The following is a 16886-nucleotide window of genomic DNA, read 5'->3' as shown; positions in this document are numbered from 1 at the left end:
AAAAAAAGAGCCTGTGTTCTTCAGGCCCATGCACGGTGAGAGGTCAGGTGGTTCTCTTGAGTTAGAAAGTGAACCTCAAAAACTCATCTCCGATTCCAACATAGCAGAGCCCTTAAACACTGGGCCCGGGAGCAAAAGCCCAAAGAAAAGGGGAGAAGGCTGGGTGCAGTGGCTCATGCCTGTAATCCCAGCACTTTGGGAGGACGAGGCAGGTGGATCCCTTCAGCCAAGGAATTTGAAACCAGCCTGGGCAACACAGTGAGACCCTCATCTCTACAAAAAAAATACAAAAACTAGCCAGGCATGGTGGCAGGTGCCTGTAGTCCCAGCTATTCTGGAGGCTGGTGTGGGAGGATTGCCTGAGCCCAGGAGTTTGAGGCTGCAGTGAGCCAAGTTTGCGCCACTGCACTCCAGCCTGGGCGACAGAGAGACCCTGTCTCAAAAAAAAAAAATTTAAAAAATTTAAAAAAAGGGAGGCGAGAAATTCGGACTGTGGACCTTTTGTTCGCTTTTACATACTTTCTTGAAAGCTGCTGCCACGATTGTGATGCTCTCACATTCCACGGTTCAGTTCCTCCGACGCACAACGTTCACTCCTACCTCAGGGCCTTTGCGTGTGCCGTGCCCTCCGCCTGGAATGCTCTCTCTGGGTCTTCCCATGGTTGGCTCTTCATTCAGTTCTCTGTTAGATGTCACCTTTCCAGAGAGCCCACACCCTCCCTCGCTCTCTCTCAAACCGCTGGGTTTTGTTTCTTGCCAGTATTGAACATTATCTGAAGCTGTTTTGATGCCTTATTCCTGGACTTGCTTTGGTGTCTGTCTGCAGCCTCTGGAGTGCACCTCTAGGAAAGAAACCCCTTTTCATGAGCTGTAGTGCCCAGTCCTGGTGCACTGAGGGCACTCCGTGAATACTCACTGAAGGACAAAGTCAATAAAACTGTTGATTGTGGCTGCTGGCTACTTGCCAGCCGGGTTTATATCTGTAGCCATTGAGACTGCTTTTGGCTGAAAGTCCTAGAAAGCACCCAAGAGGTTTAACAATAAAGATATTTATTATTTCCATATAAGGGGAAGTCCTGAGATAGGGCAGCTTTGGGGTTCTCGATTTCATTTTTTTTTTTTTTTTTTTGAGATGGGGTCTCACTCTGTCGCCCAGGCTGCAGTGCAATGGCGTGATCTTGGCTCATGGCAACCTCCACCTCCCAGGTTCAAGCGATTCTCCTGTCTCAGCCTCCCGAGTAACTGGGATTACACGTATGTGCCACCATGCCCGGCTAATTTTTGTATTTTTAGTAGAGACGGGGTTTAGCCATGTTGGCTAGACTGGTCTCGAACTCCTGACCTTGGGTGATCCACCTGCCTTGACCTCCCAAAGTGCTAAGATTACAGGTGTGAGACACTGTGCCCAGGCTTTTTATTTTTAAAATAGAGGCAGGGTCTCACTATATTGGCCAGACTGGACTTGAACTACTGGCCTCAAGCAATATTTCCACCTTGGCCTCCCAAAGTGCTGGGATTACATGCATGAGCCACGGGGCCTGGCGTTCTCAATTTCTTTTTAAATTTTATTTATTTATATTTTTATTTTAAAAATACAGACAGGGTCTTACTATGTTGGCTAGGTTGGTCTTGAGCTACTGGCCTCAAGCAATCCTTCCGCCTCGGCCTCCCAAAGCGCTGGGATTACCTGCGTGAGCCACTGCGCCCAGCTGGCTCTCAGTTTCAATGTCAAGGGGATCCCTGAAAAGCCAGGTTCTCTGCATCTCTCTGCTCTGGCATTTTCTGCAGGGCACAGTGGCTGCCTCTGTCTGGGCATCTCATCCAACAGGACACATGCAGGAAGCATCTCTTCCTTGGTCCATTTTTATCAGCAATGAAACCTTTGCAAGAATTCCCCCAGCTCACCCCCTCTCGTGTTTTTCACCAGCATGTGCTCACATGTCCACCCCTAAGCCAATCGTAGTGAGAGGAACTGTATTACCAAGATGGCTGAGAATAATCAGGATTTCTTCCAGATGGGAAAATGAGGTCCCCCTCTTTGAGCATCTGTGACTGCCGGGAAGCAGATAGACCCTCTGCCTTCAAGAAAGAAGGGGTGAGAAAGCATGAATTTCAGAAAGGCACCAATGGTATCTATCATCACACTTGTTTAATTTCATCCTCACAAAAACTCTCTGAGGTATTACTTGTCCCCATCAGCATGTATCTTGTATTTGACCTCTGAGTGGATCATCTTTTTAATTTTTAAAATTTTTGTGGGTACACGGTAGGTGTATCTATTTATGGGATACATGTTTTGATATGGGCAAGCAAAGTGTAATAATCATGTCATGGAGAATGGGGTGTTCATCCCCTCAAGCATTCATCCTTTGTGTTACAAACAATCCAATTCTACTCTTTTTTTTTTTTGAGATGGAGTTTTGCTCTTGTTGCCCAGGCTGGAGTGCAATGGTACGATCTCAGCTCACTGCAACCTCCGCCGCTCAGATTCAAGTGATTCTCCTGCCTCAGCCTCCTGAGTAGCTGGGAAAACAGGCGCCCACCACCATGCCTAGCTAATTTTTGTATTTTTAGTAGAGACGGGATTTCACCATGTTGGCCAGGCTGGTCTCGAACTCCTGACCTTGTGATCTGCCCGCCTCGGCCTCCCAAAGTGCTGGGATTACAGGCGTGAGCCACCGCACCCAGCCTCCAATTCTACTTTTTTAGTTATTTTACTATGTACAATTAAGTTATTATTGACTCTAGTCACCCCATTGTGCAAACAGTAGGTCTTAGTCATTCTTTCAAATGATTTTTTTTGTACCTGTGAACCACCCCCAACTTCTCCTTTCTTTTAAATTAGAAAAAATTATTTTCGAGATAGGGTCTCACTGTGTTGCCAGGGTTGGTCTTGAACTCCTGAGCTCAAGTTATCCTCCTGCTTCAGCCTCCCAAAGTGCTGAGATTACAGGCGTGAGCCACCCTGACCAGCCTGATATTTATTTTTATATCCCTGTTGTGTAGAAATAAAGAAAAAAAGAGATATTTATTCAAATTCAGTAAAATATTGTGTGTGTGGCTGTGTGTGTTGTGTGCGTCTCTGCATGTGTTTGTGTGTCTGTGTGTGCCAATGTGTGTGTCTCCGTGTGTGTGTGTCAATGTGTGTGTCTGTGTGTGTGTTTGTGTGTCTGTGTGTTGTATGTGTCTCTGCATGTGTTTGTGTCTGAGTGTGTTAATGTGTGTGTCTGTGTGTGTCAATGTGTCTGTGTTTGTGTGTGTCTCTGCATGTGTTTGTGTGTCTGTGTGTGTCAATGTGTGTGTCTGTGTGTGTGCAGGGGCATGTGGAGTTCTCTGAACTAAACTCCATGAGGAATATAATATTTATTAAAAGGAAAGTAATATGATTGTACTAATCTGAAACTCACATATGTATTATTAAAACTCAACCACAGCAATTGTTTAGTCCAAGGATTGACAAACTCTTTCTGTAAAGCAACAGATAATAACTATTTTAACTTTTTGCACTACAGGGCCTCTGTTAAAATTCCTCAACTCTGCCACTGTAGCCTGGACACAGCCATAAACTATATGAATAGGTGTGTCTGGGTTCCAGTAAAACTTTATTTACAAAAACAGGCTGGGGGTCAGGTCAATAAAACTTTATTTACAAAAACAGGCTGGGGGTCAGGTTTGGCCTTCGGGCTGTAGTTTGCCAACTCCCAGTTCAGACTTAGACCAATAAAAGATTGTTTCAGGAGGAATGTTTTATCGCTGACATTTTTTAGAGTTACCGGTGCACAGTGATAAGAAATAGCAACCCGAGTTTGAATAGGCTGGGGGCTGTATCCACTGTTCCAACCTTGGTACACCTCTCATTCCCACTGTGCAGAGGGGGCCCAGGGCTCAGAGGGGCACCCAAGACTCAGAGGGGATACTGTGGGCTGAGAAGGGCAGCTGGAGCTCAGAGGGAATACCTGGGGCTCAGAGGGGCAGCCAGGGCCTTGAGAAGGTGAGCAACTTGCCTAGAAATCCAGTCTGTGTCGCCCAGAGTGTGAATATAACAAAAATCCTCTTGGGCGGCTCCGATCCCTCCTCCCCGTGTGGTGGGGACTCCTTTCTGGGACAGACCCTGGGTCTGAGTCTGTGTTGCTCAGGGAAGCTGACACGGACTCCTGTCACACTCGCCAGCACTTTTCTCTGTGGCTCAGGACAGGGTGGAAAAGTTAGAAAGTCGCCAGGAGTGGGCTTGGGGACAGTTTGGGGGCCCCGAGTCCCCTCATTTCCCTGTCTGGAGGCGCAGAGAACACTCCAGAGGGCCCGGTGGACCTGCTGTCCTCCCTGAGCCCGCCCCACTCACATCTTATCTCTGCCTCCCTGGTTCTCGATCAAAGACAGATCACAGCTGCTCCTCATTGCTCAGGTCCCCTCAAGTCTCCTAACAGATTTCTTGACCCCAAACTTGCACTTTGTGGGAGGCTCCTACCCTCTCTCTGGCTCAGCCTTTTGTTGTGTAGTTTGTTTTTACCATCTTAACCATTTCTAAGTGTACATTTCAGTGGCATTAAGGACATCCACATTGTTGTGTAACCATCACCACCATCCCTCCTGGCACTTTCTCATCTTGCAAAATAGAAACTGCATATGCATTGATCAATAATTCCCCTTTCCCTCTCCCCCAGCCCCTGGCACCCACCATTCTCTTTTCTGTCTCTGTGGATCTGGCTACTCTAGGGAGCTCATGCAAATGGAATCGTACGGTATTTGTCCTGTTGTGGCTTATTTCACTCGCATAACTTCCTCAAGGCCCGTGCATGTCGCAGCGTGCGTCAGAAAGTCCTTCCTTTTCCAGGCTGAATCCTATTCCACCGTGTGGATGGGCCCCAGCTTCTTACCCACCACCCATCAGCGGACACTCGGGTTGCTCCCACCGTTGGGCCATCGTGAACAGCGCTGCAATGAACGCGGTGGCCAGATTCCTCTTCAAGTTCCCAGTTTCATTTCTTTGATACCCAGAAATGAGATTGATGCATCACATGGTAATTCTATGTTAATTTCTTTTTGTTGTTTTTTGTTTTTTGAGACAGAGTCTTGCTGTCGCCCAGGCTGGAGTGCAGTGCCATGATCTCAGCTCACTGCAACCTGCACCTCCCAGGTTCAAGCGATTCACTTATTCCACACCTCTGAGGTGGGTCTTATTAGCCCCATTTTACAGATGGGGCAATCGAGGCCCAGAGAGTTAAGTAACGTGTCCATAGGAGAGCAGGGTTTTGAACCTGGACTGTCTGGCTCCAGACTTGCTGTTTTAAACTATTAGTCAGTTAAAACTAGTAGCCTTCTTCTTCTTTTTTTTTTTCTTCCTAAAGACAGCCTACTTTCTTTTTTTCTTTATTTTTGAGTCAGGGTTTCACTCTTGTTGCCCAGGCTGGAGTGCAGTGGCACGATCGTGTCTCACTGCAGCCTCTACTTCCTGGGCTCAAGCAATGCTCCCACCTCAGCCTCCCGAGTAGCTGGGACTATAGGCACGTGCCACCACGCCTGGCTAATTTTGTGTATTTTTAGTAGAGATGGGGTTTCACCATGTTGCTCAGGCTGGTCTTGAACTTGCTGGCCTCAAGCCATCCTCCCGCCTCAGCCTCCCAAAGTGCTGGGATTACAGGCGTGAGCCACTGCGCTGGCCGTTACCTCCAGGCTTCTACCGCAGCTGCTGGACACTGCCTCTGAGCCTCTCTTTCTCTCCTCTAATTCCTTTCCCACCACAGAATCAGTTCCTGTAGTAGTCTGAGCAGGAAGTGGAGAGAACACTCAAAATTGGGGACTTTGAAGATATATACAAAGGAGCAGGGAAAACGAAAGGGAGAGTGAAGCTGCTCCCCACCCTGGGGCTGAGGGGAGGAGGGCAGGGAGTGTCACCTGGAACCCGGGAGGAGAGAGGAGTCGAGAGAGGTCTGCCTTCCAGGGACCGTGACCTCTGCTCAAGAGCTGCAGCCAGCCTGTGTGTTTCAGTGCAGTGCAGTTGGGGTATCACAGACCACCCCACATGCAGTGACTTGGAGGTGCTATTAATGATACTATTGGGGCAAGAGGTATAAACCGGGGTGACTGCACCGTCTAAGGTGCAGGGGTCCCTGATTGTCTGTTCCTTGGGCACACTGAGCACCTCCCTGACACAGGGCCTTTGCACTTGCTGGTTTGTTTGCCAGAAAGGTCCTCCCCAGGTTCCGGTCTCCCCCCGCCAGCCCCCATCTCCCTGTGGCATTACCTTTTTATTTCTCTCATTAGCACGTAGCACCATCTATAATCCTTATCTATTTATTTGCTTATACATATATTTATAGATAAATAAAAAAACATATATATATTTTAATATCTCTCTCTCTTTCCCTTACTAAAAAGGCCAGGGCAGACCAGACGTGGTGGTTCACACCTATAATCCCAGCACTTTGGGAGGTCGAGGTGGGAGGATCGCCTGACTCCAGGAGTTCGAGACTAGCCTGGGCAACATAGTGCGACACCCATCTCTATTAAAAAAAATAAAAATTAAAAAAAATTAGCTTGGCTGGGTGCAGGGGCTCACACCTGTAATCCTAGCACTTTGGGAGGCCAAGGTGGGTGGATCATTTGAGGTAAGAGTTCAAGATCAGCCTGGCCAACATGGTGAAACCCCATTTCTACTAAAAAATACAAAAATTAGCTGGGAGTGGTGGCAGGCGCCTGTAGTCCCAGCTACTCGGGAGGGAGGCTGAGGCAGGAGAATCGCTTGAACCCGGGAGGCAGAGGCTGCAGTGAGCTGACATCACACCACTGCACTCCAGCCTGGGCGACAGAGCAAGACTCTTGTCTCAAAACAAAACAAAACAAAAAATTAGCTGGTGTGGTGGCACATGTCTGTAGGAGGCTGAGGCGGGGGGATCGCTTGAGCCCAGGGGGTGGAGGCTGCAGTGAGCTTTGAACTCCAGCTTGGGTGACAGAACCATACCCTGTCTCAAAAAAAAGTAAGGCCAGGGCACAGAGGACCTGCCTGCTTTCTTCCCCATCTACCCCCAGGCCCTAGCACACAGTAGGCCTGATACATAGCGAGTGCTCAGCAAGTATTTGCCACATAAATGAATGAATGAGCATGTCCATCCCTTCTCTGGTAGGTAGGACAGGACCAGGTGGTCTCAGAGGAATCTTCTGGTTCCTGGGATAGGAATCATCCTCCTTTCTCCAGCTGCTGTTGAGAGTGGCAGCTGATAGAAACTTCTGTCCTCCAGTGACCTGGCCCACGGAGCAACGTATTAGCTCGCGGCTGCCAGCTGGGTCCTCCCCACACACTTGCACCTTTGTCCTGGAAAGCACGTCTGTGTTGGAGGGTTAGCCCTTGCCAGAGAGGACATATCAGAGTCCCCAAAGGCCAGGGACAAAGGCAAGGATTGATCGCCAGCCCTGAGTCAGAGAGGAAAGACTCCTGGAGGGAAGTCAGTGATCGGGGACTCAGAAAGGCGTGATTCTGAAGGAAGACAGGATTTACAGGGCATCTCAGTCTGCTCAGGCTTCTAAAACAGAGTACCATAGACGGGGAGAGCTTACAGACGGCGGACATCTATTTCTCACATTTCTGGAGGGTGGGAAGTCCAAGATCAAGGCGCCAGCAGATTTGATGGTGGTGAGGCCCTGCGTCCTGGTTCACAGATGGCAGCTTCTCTCTGTGTCCTTGCCTGGTGGAAGGGGAGATGCAGCTCTCTAGAGCCTCGTGTGTCAGGGCCCTAATCCCATCGATGAGGCCTCTGCCCCCATGACCTCGTCACTTCCCAAAAGCCCTACCTCCTAATACCATCACATAGTAATTAGGTTTCAACGTACAAATTTCAGGGGACACATTCAGACTCTAGCACCGGGGCTAAAGTCCAGGGGCAGAGGCTAAGTTTCTGGAGGGGCTGTTTAGGGGCTCTGGAGACCTTCTCTGATATTCACAATATTGCAGGGGGCATTTTGACCTACTGAAGAGAAACAGCTCCTAAAAAGTCACTTGTAGCAACATGAGAGATTCGCATTCTGATTAAAATCTATGCAGGCACCTCCTGCCTCAGAGTCGTTGCCCTGGCTATTCCCTCTGCCTGGAATGTTCTTCCCTGGATCTCAACACATTCCTGCACTTCCTGCAGGTCTTTGCCCAAATGTCACCTTCTCACTGAGGCTGTCTTCAAACACCCCATTTAAATGGCAACCCCTCTCCCCCAGTAGCATTTACACTGTTCTGTTTTTCCCCTAAAGCACGCATCGTCCTCTAACTGCCTGTCCCATGGAAATGCAGCATGCACAAACCACACACACAATTTTAAAAATTTTATGACAGAGGAACCTGTTCTGAAAAAAGAAAAAAAGGTAAAAGAATTTTAGGGGTCATATTTTAAAAAGTAAAAAGAAACAGGTGAAATTAATTTAACTTGTAATATTATTCAACCCTTGGTCAGTGTGTGTGGATGAACCACGTCTACCAGAGTCCAAGGTAAAAGCCTGCCTCTGCCGCCGGGCCACGCAGCTGCCTGGCATGGTGGCCTGGGGCAAGTTGCTCAGCCTCTCTGTGCCCCGGCTCCCTTATCGGTGATATTCAAATAGTGTCATTTCAATGTGTAATCAATATAAGAATATTGAGATGTTTTACGCTCTTTTCATATGAAGCCTTTGAAGTCTGGGATGTATATGACATGGCATATCTCATTCAGACTAGCCCCGGGTCAAGTGTCCCATAGCCACATAGGGCCAGTGGCTACTGTATTGGATAGCACAGCTCTAATATCTTTTTGTTTTGTTTTTTGAGATGGGGTCTTGCTCTGTCGTCCAGGCTGGAGTGCAGTGATGCCATCTTGGATCACTGCAACCTCTGCCTCCTGAGCTTAAGTGATCCTCCCACCTCAGCCTCCTGAGTGTCTGGGACCACAGGTGCGTGCCACCATGCCCAGCTAATTTTTTTTTTTTTAATTTATTGTAGCAACAGGGTTTTGCTATGTTGGCCAGGCTGGTCTCAAACTCCTGAGCTCAAACAAAGTGCCTGCCTCGGCCAAAGTGCTGGGATTACAGGTGTGAGCCACCGTGCCCATAGCTCTAACATTTTATAAAATCCACCAATGATGATGTTTATCACTAATTGTTATTGCTTGTCTATTAACATACCGGACCCGCAAGGCTAGGGGCTTGCTTATGGTCCCTGCTGGGTCCCCAAACGCCCAACATAGTGCCCAGCACAGAGTAGGAGCTCAACGTGAACTGAATGAATCCAGCAGGCACACGTGAGCTCTCTTTCCTCCCTCACCAGCAGCAATCCAGGTGGCAGATGTGGCTACAATGCTTTCCTGGCTGGGCGCGGTGGCTCACGCCTGTAATCCCAGCACTTTGGAAGGCCGCGGCGAGTGGATCACTTGAGCCCAGGAGTTCGAGACCAGCCTGGCCAACATAGTAAAACTGCATCTCCATTAAAAATACAAAAATTGGCCGGGTGCAGTGGCTCACACCTGTAATCCCAGAACTTTGGGAGGCCAAGGTGGGCGGACCACCTGAGGTCAGGAGTTCAGGACAAGCCTGGCCAACACGGTGAAATCCCGTCTCTACAAAAATACAAAAATTAGCCAGGCATGATGGCAGGTGCCTGTAATCCCAGCTACTCAGGAGGCTGAGGCGGGAGAATCGCTTGAACCCAGGAGAAGGTTGCAGTGAGCTGAGATCACACCATTGCACTCTAGCCTGGGCGACAGAGTAAGACTTCTTCTTAAAAAAAAAAAAAAAAATTAGCCAGTCGTGTGGCATGCACCTGTAATCCCAGCTGCTCAGGAGGCTGAGACAGGGAGAACTGCTTAAATCCGGGAGGCGGAGGTTGCAGTGAGCTGAGATCACACCACTGTATTCCAGCCTGGGCCACAGAGCGAGTCTCCACCTCAAAAGAAAAAAAAATAAGGTTTCCTCTTCCTTTGCTTTTTATTTTGTCCTTTCTCTCACCCGTCTCTTTGCTTTCCTTCACTTTCTTCCTCTTTTTCCTTTCCCTCAGCAAACAGCGTAGTGGTCATGTGTGTGGCAAGTCACTGGTTCACATCTCTGCTCTCTGCTCGCCAGGAGCCAGCTGTGCCTCCTTTAAGGAAGCCCTTCAGCTTCCATTCACTGTGTTCTATTGCCGCTGGGGATGAGCGTGATTCTTCCCAGGCTGGGGTGGGAATGCGGCTGCCTGCAGGAGGTGTTGGCTCCGCCTCACACAGGCACCTTGCTAAGCATATGACCAAGATGAGCCCATGTAATCCTCATGACCACCCCAGGGTGCAGGCATGACTCAGACCAATCCCAAGGCACCGATAAGGGAGCCGAGGCACAGAGAGGCTGAGCAACTTGCCCCAGGCCGCCATGCCAGGCAGCTGCGTGTTCCGGCGGCAGAGGCAAGCTTTTACCTTGGACTCTGGTAGATGTGGTTCATCCACACACACCGACCAAGGGCCTACTGTGGGCCACGTGCTGTTGGGGAGCCGGGGGCACAGCAATGGACGAAACAGGCAGATTCCTGCCCCGTGGAGCTTTTTTTATCCTAGAAGAGGAAGGAAGCCAATCAAACAAGCAAACACCCGCCCTGGAGGGCGGTCGGTGCACAGAGAGAAATGAAGCAGCCAAGGGGGATAGGGAGGGTCCTATGGGTGGTTTGTAACTTTCAAAGGGTGGGCAGGAAGGAAGTCATTGCTGAGAAGATGGCATTGGAGCAAGGACCTGAAGGAAGGGAGGGTGAGTCTCCTGGGTGTTAGGGAGAGGAGCATTCCAGGAGGGGACCAGGGAGTGCAAAGGTTCTGGGGCACGAGCCGGGCAACAGGTGGAGGAGCTCCAGGGAGGAGGATGTGGCTGGAGCAGAGTGGGCAAGGAGAGGGAGGGGGATGAGGTCAGGGAGATGTGCCCATCTGGGTGCGTTTTGACTTTGTCTCTCTAGTATGAGATGTGGTGATCTTGTGGGCCATGGTGAGGGCTTTGGCTTTTATGCTGAATGAGGTGGGAGCCACGGAAAGGTTTCTTTCTTTTTGTTTTCTTGAGAGACAGGGTCTCACTGTGTTGCCCAGGCTGGAGTGCAGTGACACAATCACAGCTCACTCACTGCAGCCTCGACTTCCTGGGCTCACGTGATTCTCCCACCTCAGCCTCCTCAGTAGCTGAAACTAGAGGTGTGTGCCACTTTACCTGGCTAACTTTTTATTTTTTGTAGAGATGGTGTCTGGCTGTGTTGCCCAGGCTGATCTCGAACTCCTGGCCTCAAGGGATCCTCCTGCCTCAGCCTCCAAAAGCACTGGGATTATAGGCATGGGCCACCATGCCTGGCCATTTCTTTAAAATAACAGTTTTCATTGAGATATAATTTGCATATCATACATTCACCCATTTAAAGTATATAATTTGGCCAGGCATGATGGCTCACACTTGTAATCCCAGCGCTTTGGGAGGCCAGGGTGGGAGGATGACCAGAATTTTGAGAGCAGCCTGGGCAACAAAGTGAGACCCTGTCTCAACAAAAATGAAAACATCAGGTGTACATAGTGGCATATACTTGTTGTCCAAGCTAGTCAGGAGGCCGAGGCGGGAGGATGGTTTGAACCCAAGACTTCAAGACTGCACTCCAGCCTGGGTGACAGAGTGAGACCCTGTCTCTTGAAAAAAAGAAAAAGTAAATAAAGTGTGTAATTTGATGGTTTTTTGTATATTCACGGAGTTGTGCAACCATCATTACCATCACTTTTACCGTCACTTTTAGAACATTTTCACCACTCCAAGATGAAACCCCAAACCTGTAGCAGTCACTCCTCATTCTCCCCAGCCCCTGGCAACCACTGGTCTACTTTTTGTCCCCATAGATGTGCCTACTATGGACATTTTATATAAGCAGAATCATACATGTGGCCTTTGTGTCTGGCTTCTTTCACTTATCAATGTTTTCAAGGTTCATCCATGGTGTAGCACGCGTCAGCCCTTCATTCCTTTTTATGCTGAGTCATATTCCAGTGCGTGGTTATGCCACATTTTATTTACCTATTCACCAGCTGATGGGGGTGTGGGTTATTTTCACTGCTTGGCTGCTGTGAACATTTGTGTCCAGGCTTCCGTGTGGACATGCTCTTTCCTTTCTCCTGGGCATATACCCAGGAGTGGAACTGCTGGGTCTTAGGGGACCCCTATGTTTACCTTTTGAGGCTGCACCATTTTACAATCCCACAAGCACCTCAAGAGGCTTCCAACTCCTCCAGGTCTTTGCCTGCAGTCATTCTCCGTCTTTGATCACGAAAGGACTCTGAGCAGAGGAGGAAAAGCATCTGACTTGATTTTCCAGGAGCCCTGTGACACCATGTTGATCATATTTTGTTATCAGCACTCTTTCTTTTCTTCTGTATCTTCGACTTTCCCCAGGGCAAGACCTCTCTCTCAAACATGACGAAGTCTTTTTTTCCCTTCTTAAGCTGCCCTCCCTGCCACCGGAAGTGACTCCCCTCAGCAAGGCCAAGGTGGCTCACGTGTCCCATCACCCTTTCATCTCTGCCCTTCTCTCTCGAGTGACAGCATGGCGTGACATGAGGGCTCTCCAGCCATGGCCTTGCAGCCCTCTTGGGTAAGCATCACGTACATTTGGACCTTGAAGACTTGGTCATGAATCAGAGTTAGATTGGGTGAGATGGTCAAGGCAGGTCAGTATCAAGGAAGTGGAGGAGGGTGTCAGGGCCAGGCAGACCGCAGATTTTAGTTAACTGGCTAATTTCCGAGAACTACAAAAGTCATTAAAAAAAAAGGCAACTGCATAGCTGAAGGCTGTTGAAGGCCTTAAGGAATTCAATGAAGTGATATTAATTAATTAATCAATCGATCAGTTACTTGATTAATTAATGAGTTAATTAGCTGATTGAGTAAAGTATTTATTGAGTACCTGCTATGTGCCAGGCATTTTTCCAGGTGCTGGAGATACATCGATAAGCAAAACAGGGTCAGCTTCTGTCTCTCGGGAGCTGGAGGAGATGAACAAGGAAACAGATAAGACCATTTCACACAAAGCAAGGTGGCCTGACAGAGTGGGCTGGGACTCCTGTTTTCAACAGATGCAACAGCAAAGGCTTCTCTGAGGAGTGGGTTTCAGCTGAGCCCAGAAGAGGAGAGTGGGGAGCCATGGAAGGATCTAGGGGAAGCGTATCCTAGACAGAGGAACAGGAAGTGCAAAGTTCCTGACACAAGAAAAAGCTGGGGATGCTCAATGAACTGAAACAATGGGGGAGAGGGCAGGAGATGGAGGCAGAGAGATGGGCAGGCGCCAGTTCATGTGGGTCCGGAAAATAACGACGACACTCCCCAGCTCAGTTGCACTGACACATTCCAGGGACTGTTCTAAGCACTGGCACATTTTTTGACTTGTTTAATCCTCATGGTAGCCCTTGGAAAGGGGCTCTTCTAATCCCCGTTTCGTAGATGAGGAGACTGAGGCACAGAAAGGCCCAAACCACTTGCCCCAGGACTCCAATGTGGGAAACCCCAGAGCCTGGATTTCTCTGAACCTGTCCCCCGGGGCTACCACAGTCTCACCTCAGCCACTCTGACCTCCCTCAGGAGTTGGGCCCTGCCCCTTGGGGCACTGGACCATATTCGGCCTCCTTAGAGGAAGGCAGTGCCAGGCAAAGCTGTCTAACGAGAACATAGCAGGTGCTCTGTAAATATTGGTTCAGGCGAAGACATGTTGCTTAAGGATGGCCCTGCGAGAAGGCTGCTTTCTTCTGGAGTTAAATAAGAGGTTTAGAAAGCCTCCCTCGGAGCACTCAAGGACTGAGCCTGCCTTACCCACGTGCTGGGGACACCACCCTCCTGTCCCTGTGTAACCCAGGAGTCTCTTCTCAGTAACTTCATTCAGAAAATGAGGGGACTGGCCAGCACTTCAGGGACCAGAAGGCAGGCCAGGTGGGGTGTGGTGGAGGACTTCAGGGGGGCGTGGAGGGCTTCAGGGATACACTCACCCATCTAAGGGCAACTGCCACTTAGTGCCAGCCCACTTCTCTCCCTTTTTTCTTTTTTCTTTTTCCCCCAGGGTCTTGCTGTCACCCAGGCTGGAGTGCGGTGGTAAGATCAGGGCTCACTGCAGCCTTGAACTCTGGGACTCAAGGGATCCTTCTGCCTCAGCCTCCTGAGTAGCTGGGGCGACAAGCGCATGCCACTGTGGCTGGTTAATCTTTTCATTTTCTGTAGAGACTGGTCTCACTATGTTGCCCAGGCTGGTCTCCAACTAGTGGCCTCAAGTGATCCCTCACCTGGACCTTCCAAAGTGCTGGGATTACAGTTGTGGGCCACCATGCACCGGGCCTGTTCTGTTTTCTTGGAGCACTTGCCTGCAATTATCCTTCATTCATTTGCTCACGTGCTCATCATTGGTTTCCCTCTTCATTAGAAAGTGGGGACTTGGTTTGGGTTAACTAAGCTTCCCTGTGCATCAGTTTTCATTTCTTTCTTTCTTTTTCTTTTTCTTTTCTTTTTTTTTTTTTTTGAGATGGAGTTTCGCTCTTGTTGCCCAGGCTGGAGTGCAATGGCGCTATCTCGGCTCGCCACAACCTCCGCCTCCCGGGTTCAAGCGATTCTCCTGCCTCAGCCTCCCGAGTAGCTGAGATTACAGGCATGCGCCACTACGCCTGGCTAATTTTGTATTGTTAGTAGAGACGGGGTTTCGCCATGTTGGTCAGGCTGGTCTCCAACTCCCGACCTCAGGTGATCCATGAAGTCCACCCGCCTCGGCCTCCCAAAGTGCTGGGATTACAGGCGTGAGCCACCTCCCAGTTTTCTTATTGTAAAATGGAGCCATTGTGTGCAAAGCACTCAGGACAGGGGCCAGCACCTAGAAGGCTCCTCAGTCATTCATTCTAGAATATTTACTGTGAGCAGGCATTCCCTGCCAGGCCACGTTCTAGAGCTCAGGACGCGTGGGGGGGGGGGCCCGCCTCACGGGTTGGCATCCCAGTTGGAGCACATGGTCAGAATGCAAGGACGCAAATGAACGTGAACCTGCCAGGGGGTGCTCAGTCATAGGGTGATGGTGGCACCAGCGTTACGAAGGATAGGGCCAGGCGGATACCTGGGAGAACAGAATTGCCTGTGCAGGGTGTATGGAGGCCCTGGGGCTGGAGCCTGCGGGGCTTCTTCCAGGGACAGTGAGGCTGGAGATGGACTGCGGAGATGAGGGTCTAGAAGGTGGTGGCGGGGCATGTGGACCGTTGTAAGGGCTCTGGGGTTCCTGGGTGGGCTGGCGAAGTCCTACTCACAGTGACCAACCATGATGATGGTCCCGATAGAGGAGGAGAGGGAGGAGGAGGGAAAAGGAAGGGTGAGGGGCTCAGAGGGGAGAGCTGGGAGGAGGGGAGACATAGGTGGGGGAAGGGGTAGGAGAAAGGGGAAGGGAGCAAGAGGGTGAGGGGCACCAGGCCCCATAGACGTTTTGGCTCAGCGGCCACGAGGCCTCCTCAGCTCCCGCCCCAAAACGGAAGCGAGGCCGTGGGGGCAGCGGCAGCATGGCGGGGCTTGTCTTGGCGGCCATGGCCCCGCCCCCTGCCCGTCCGATCAGCGCCCCGCCCCGTCCCCGCCCCGACCCCGCCCCGGGCCCGCTCAGGCCCCGCCCCTGCCGCCGGAATCCTGAAGCCCAAGGCTGCCCGGGGGCGGTCCGGCGGCGCCGGCGATGGGGCATAAAACCACTGGCCACCTGCCGGGCTGCTCCTGCGTGCGCTGCCGTCCCGGATCCACCGTGCCTCTGCGGCCTGCGTGCCCGGAGTCCCCGCCTGTGTCGTCTCTGTCGCCGTCCCCGTCTCCTGCCAGGCGCGGAGCCCTGCGAGCCGCGGGTGGGCCCCAGGCGCGCAGACATGGGCTGCTCCGCCAAAGCGCGCTGGGCTGCCGGGGCGCTGGGCGTCGCGGGGCTACTGTGCGCTGTGCTGGGCGCTGTCATGATCGTGATGGTGCCGTCGCTCATCAAGCAGCAGGTCCTTAAGGTGGGTGAGGGAGACCCCAGGGGGTCCGCGCACGGACCCGGGCTGTTGGGCGCTGGGCGCCGGGAGGACCCGCGCGTTGCGGTGGGTGGGCGACCGCAGCGGAATCGGCGCCCGGGCCTGGCGCCGCAGAGCACGAGGGAGGCCAGGCGCTTCGGGAGGGGCTGCTGCCCGCCTCCCCACCACCCTCACCGCCCCAGACTGAGGCTAGGGGGGAACCCAGGGGCTTTGCTGGAGGCGCAGGCCAGGGTTGGGGAGGCCTGGACGGGAGACCACCCGGGCGCCTGACCCGCCCTAAAGGGTCTGGGCGCCCACGACGGATCAGGAGTGTGGACAGGTTGCTTCCGTGGTGCCGCCCGAAGGAGCCCAAGAGTGTGTGAACGTCTGCTTTCACAGCAGCCGGTAGCAGGGTCCGGTAAAATTAGAGCTGCACTTTGCTTGTATCCTGTGAGCCCAGGAGGACAGGAACCTTCTGTGAGACCCACGTGGGTGCCCAGCTCACATGGTAGGTGCTCAGCTGAGCATCCTCCACTGCCCAGAATCTCCCCATAGGAACCCTCTCCCAGAGGCAGAATGCGCGACTCTGTTCTCCCTGCTCACTGCCTCCATGATTCAGTCTGGAAACTATAAGCCGCTTTTCTCCCCAGATTCATGCAGAGGCAGGCAGCAGCCCAAGGTCCTCTGAGTGCACGCAGCCTTAGGTCTTTCCTCTGATCCTAACTTTGCATACCATTGCCCTTTCAACCAGGGAGACAGATTAGGCGGTCAGCTGGTCTGCAGACGGACAGACTCTGCCCTGGGTGCCTGGGTGGCCTGTTTGAATGAGCCTGGAGTTAGGGAAGGGCTGGGAGATTGCAGAGTATCACATTTGAACTAAAAGCCATTTAGAGTTTTGAAGCCCTGGGAACCCACACA

General features: G+C 51.3%; 1 protein-coding gene and 1 long non-coding RNA gene across 20 annotated transcripts in view, besides 4 other annotated features; one reads left to right on the top strand and one right to left on the bottom strand.

Annotated features, from left to right (window-relative positions):
- Positions 1 to 1991: 1991 nt before the first annotated feature.
- Positions 1992 to 15507, bottom strand: LOC105370050 (uncharacterized). The gene is made up of 3 exons (XR_945488.3): positions 13965 to 15507; positions 12893 to 12971; positions 1992 to 2079 (listed from the first exon to the last, which is right to left on the bottom strand). It is a non-coding gene; the product is annotated as an uncharacterized LOC105370050 (long non-coding RNA).
- Positions 11873 to 13072: an enhancer, noted in NCBI's record as "BRD4-independent group 4 enhancer chr12:125351043-125352242 (GRCh37/hg19 assembly coordinates)". NCBI's record gives its function as "activates an origin of replication core promoter dependent on BRD2, P300/CBP, MED14 and CDK7 cofactors, and independent of BRD4, by STARR-seq in HCT116 cells {active_cell/tissue: HCT116}" and the evidence as "EXISTENCE:reporter gene assay evidence [ECO:0000049][PMID:35650434]".
- Positions 13501 to 13670: an enhancer, noted in NCBI's record as "experimental_25236 CRE fragment used in MPRA reporter constructs". NCBI's record gives its function as "activates a minimal promoter by MPRAs in K562 erythroleukemia cells, with activity observed for both the introgressed and non-introgressed 12:125350530 variant alleles {active_cell/tissue: K562}" and the evidence as "EXISTENCE:reporter gene assay evidence [ECO:0000049][PMID:34662402]".
- Positions 15058 to 15257: an enhancer, noted in NCBI's record as "active region_7306". NCBI's record gives its function as "activates an Ori minimal core promoter by ATAC-STARR-seq in GM12878 lymphoblastoid cells {active_cell/tissue: GM12878}" and the evidence as "EXISTENCE:reporter gene assay evidence [ECO:0000049][PMID:35858748]".
- Positions 15488 to 16167: a silencer, noted in NCBI's record as "silent region_5067". NCBI's record gives its function as "represses an Ori minimal core promoter by ATAC-STARR-seq in GM12878 lymphoblastoid cells {active_cell/tissue: GM12878}" and the evidence as "EXISTENCE:reporter gene assay evidence [ECO:0000049][PMID:35858748]".
- The window catches only part of SCARB1 (scavenger receptor class B member 1), an 87009-nt gene continuing 85827 nt past the window's right edge, over positions 15705 to 16886 (top strand). For all 19 annotated transcript variants that reach the window (NR_160418.1, NR_160420.1, NR_160422.1 and 16 more), the window contains exon 1: positions 15705 to 15974. Coding sequence is in view for 10 of the 19 variants with exons in the window: in NM_001367988.1 (NP_001354917.1) it covers positions 15849 to 15974 (126 nt within the window). In the remaining 9 variants the exon portion in view is untranslated. The remainder of the gene's footprint in view (positions 15975 to 16886) is intronic.

This window comes from Homo sapiens, chromosome 12, assembly GCF_000001405.40.
Source record: "Homo sapiens chromosome 12, GRCh38.p14 Primary Assembly".
NCBI classification, from domain to species: Eukaryota; Metazoa; Chordata; class Mammalia; order Primates; family Hominidae; genus Homo; species Homo sapiens.
Note: the sequence above shows the minus strand (reverse complement) of the source record. Positions and strands in the feature narration are given on the sequence as shown.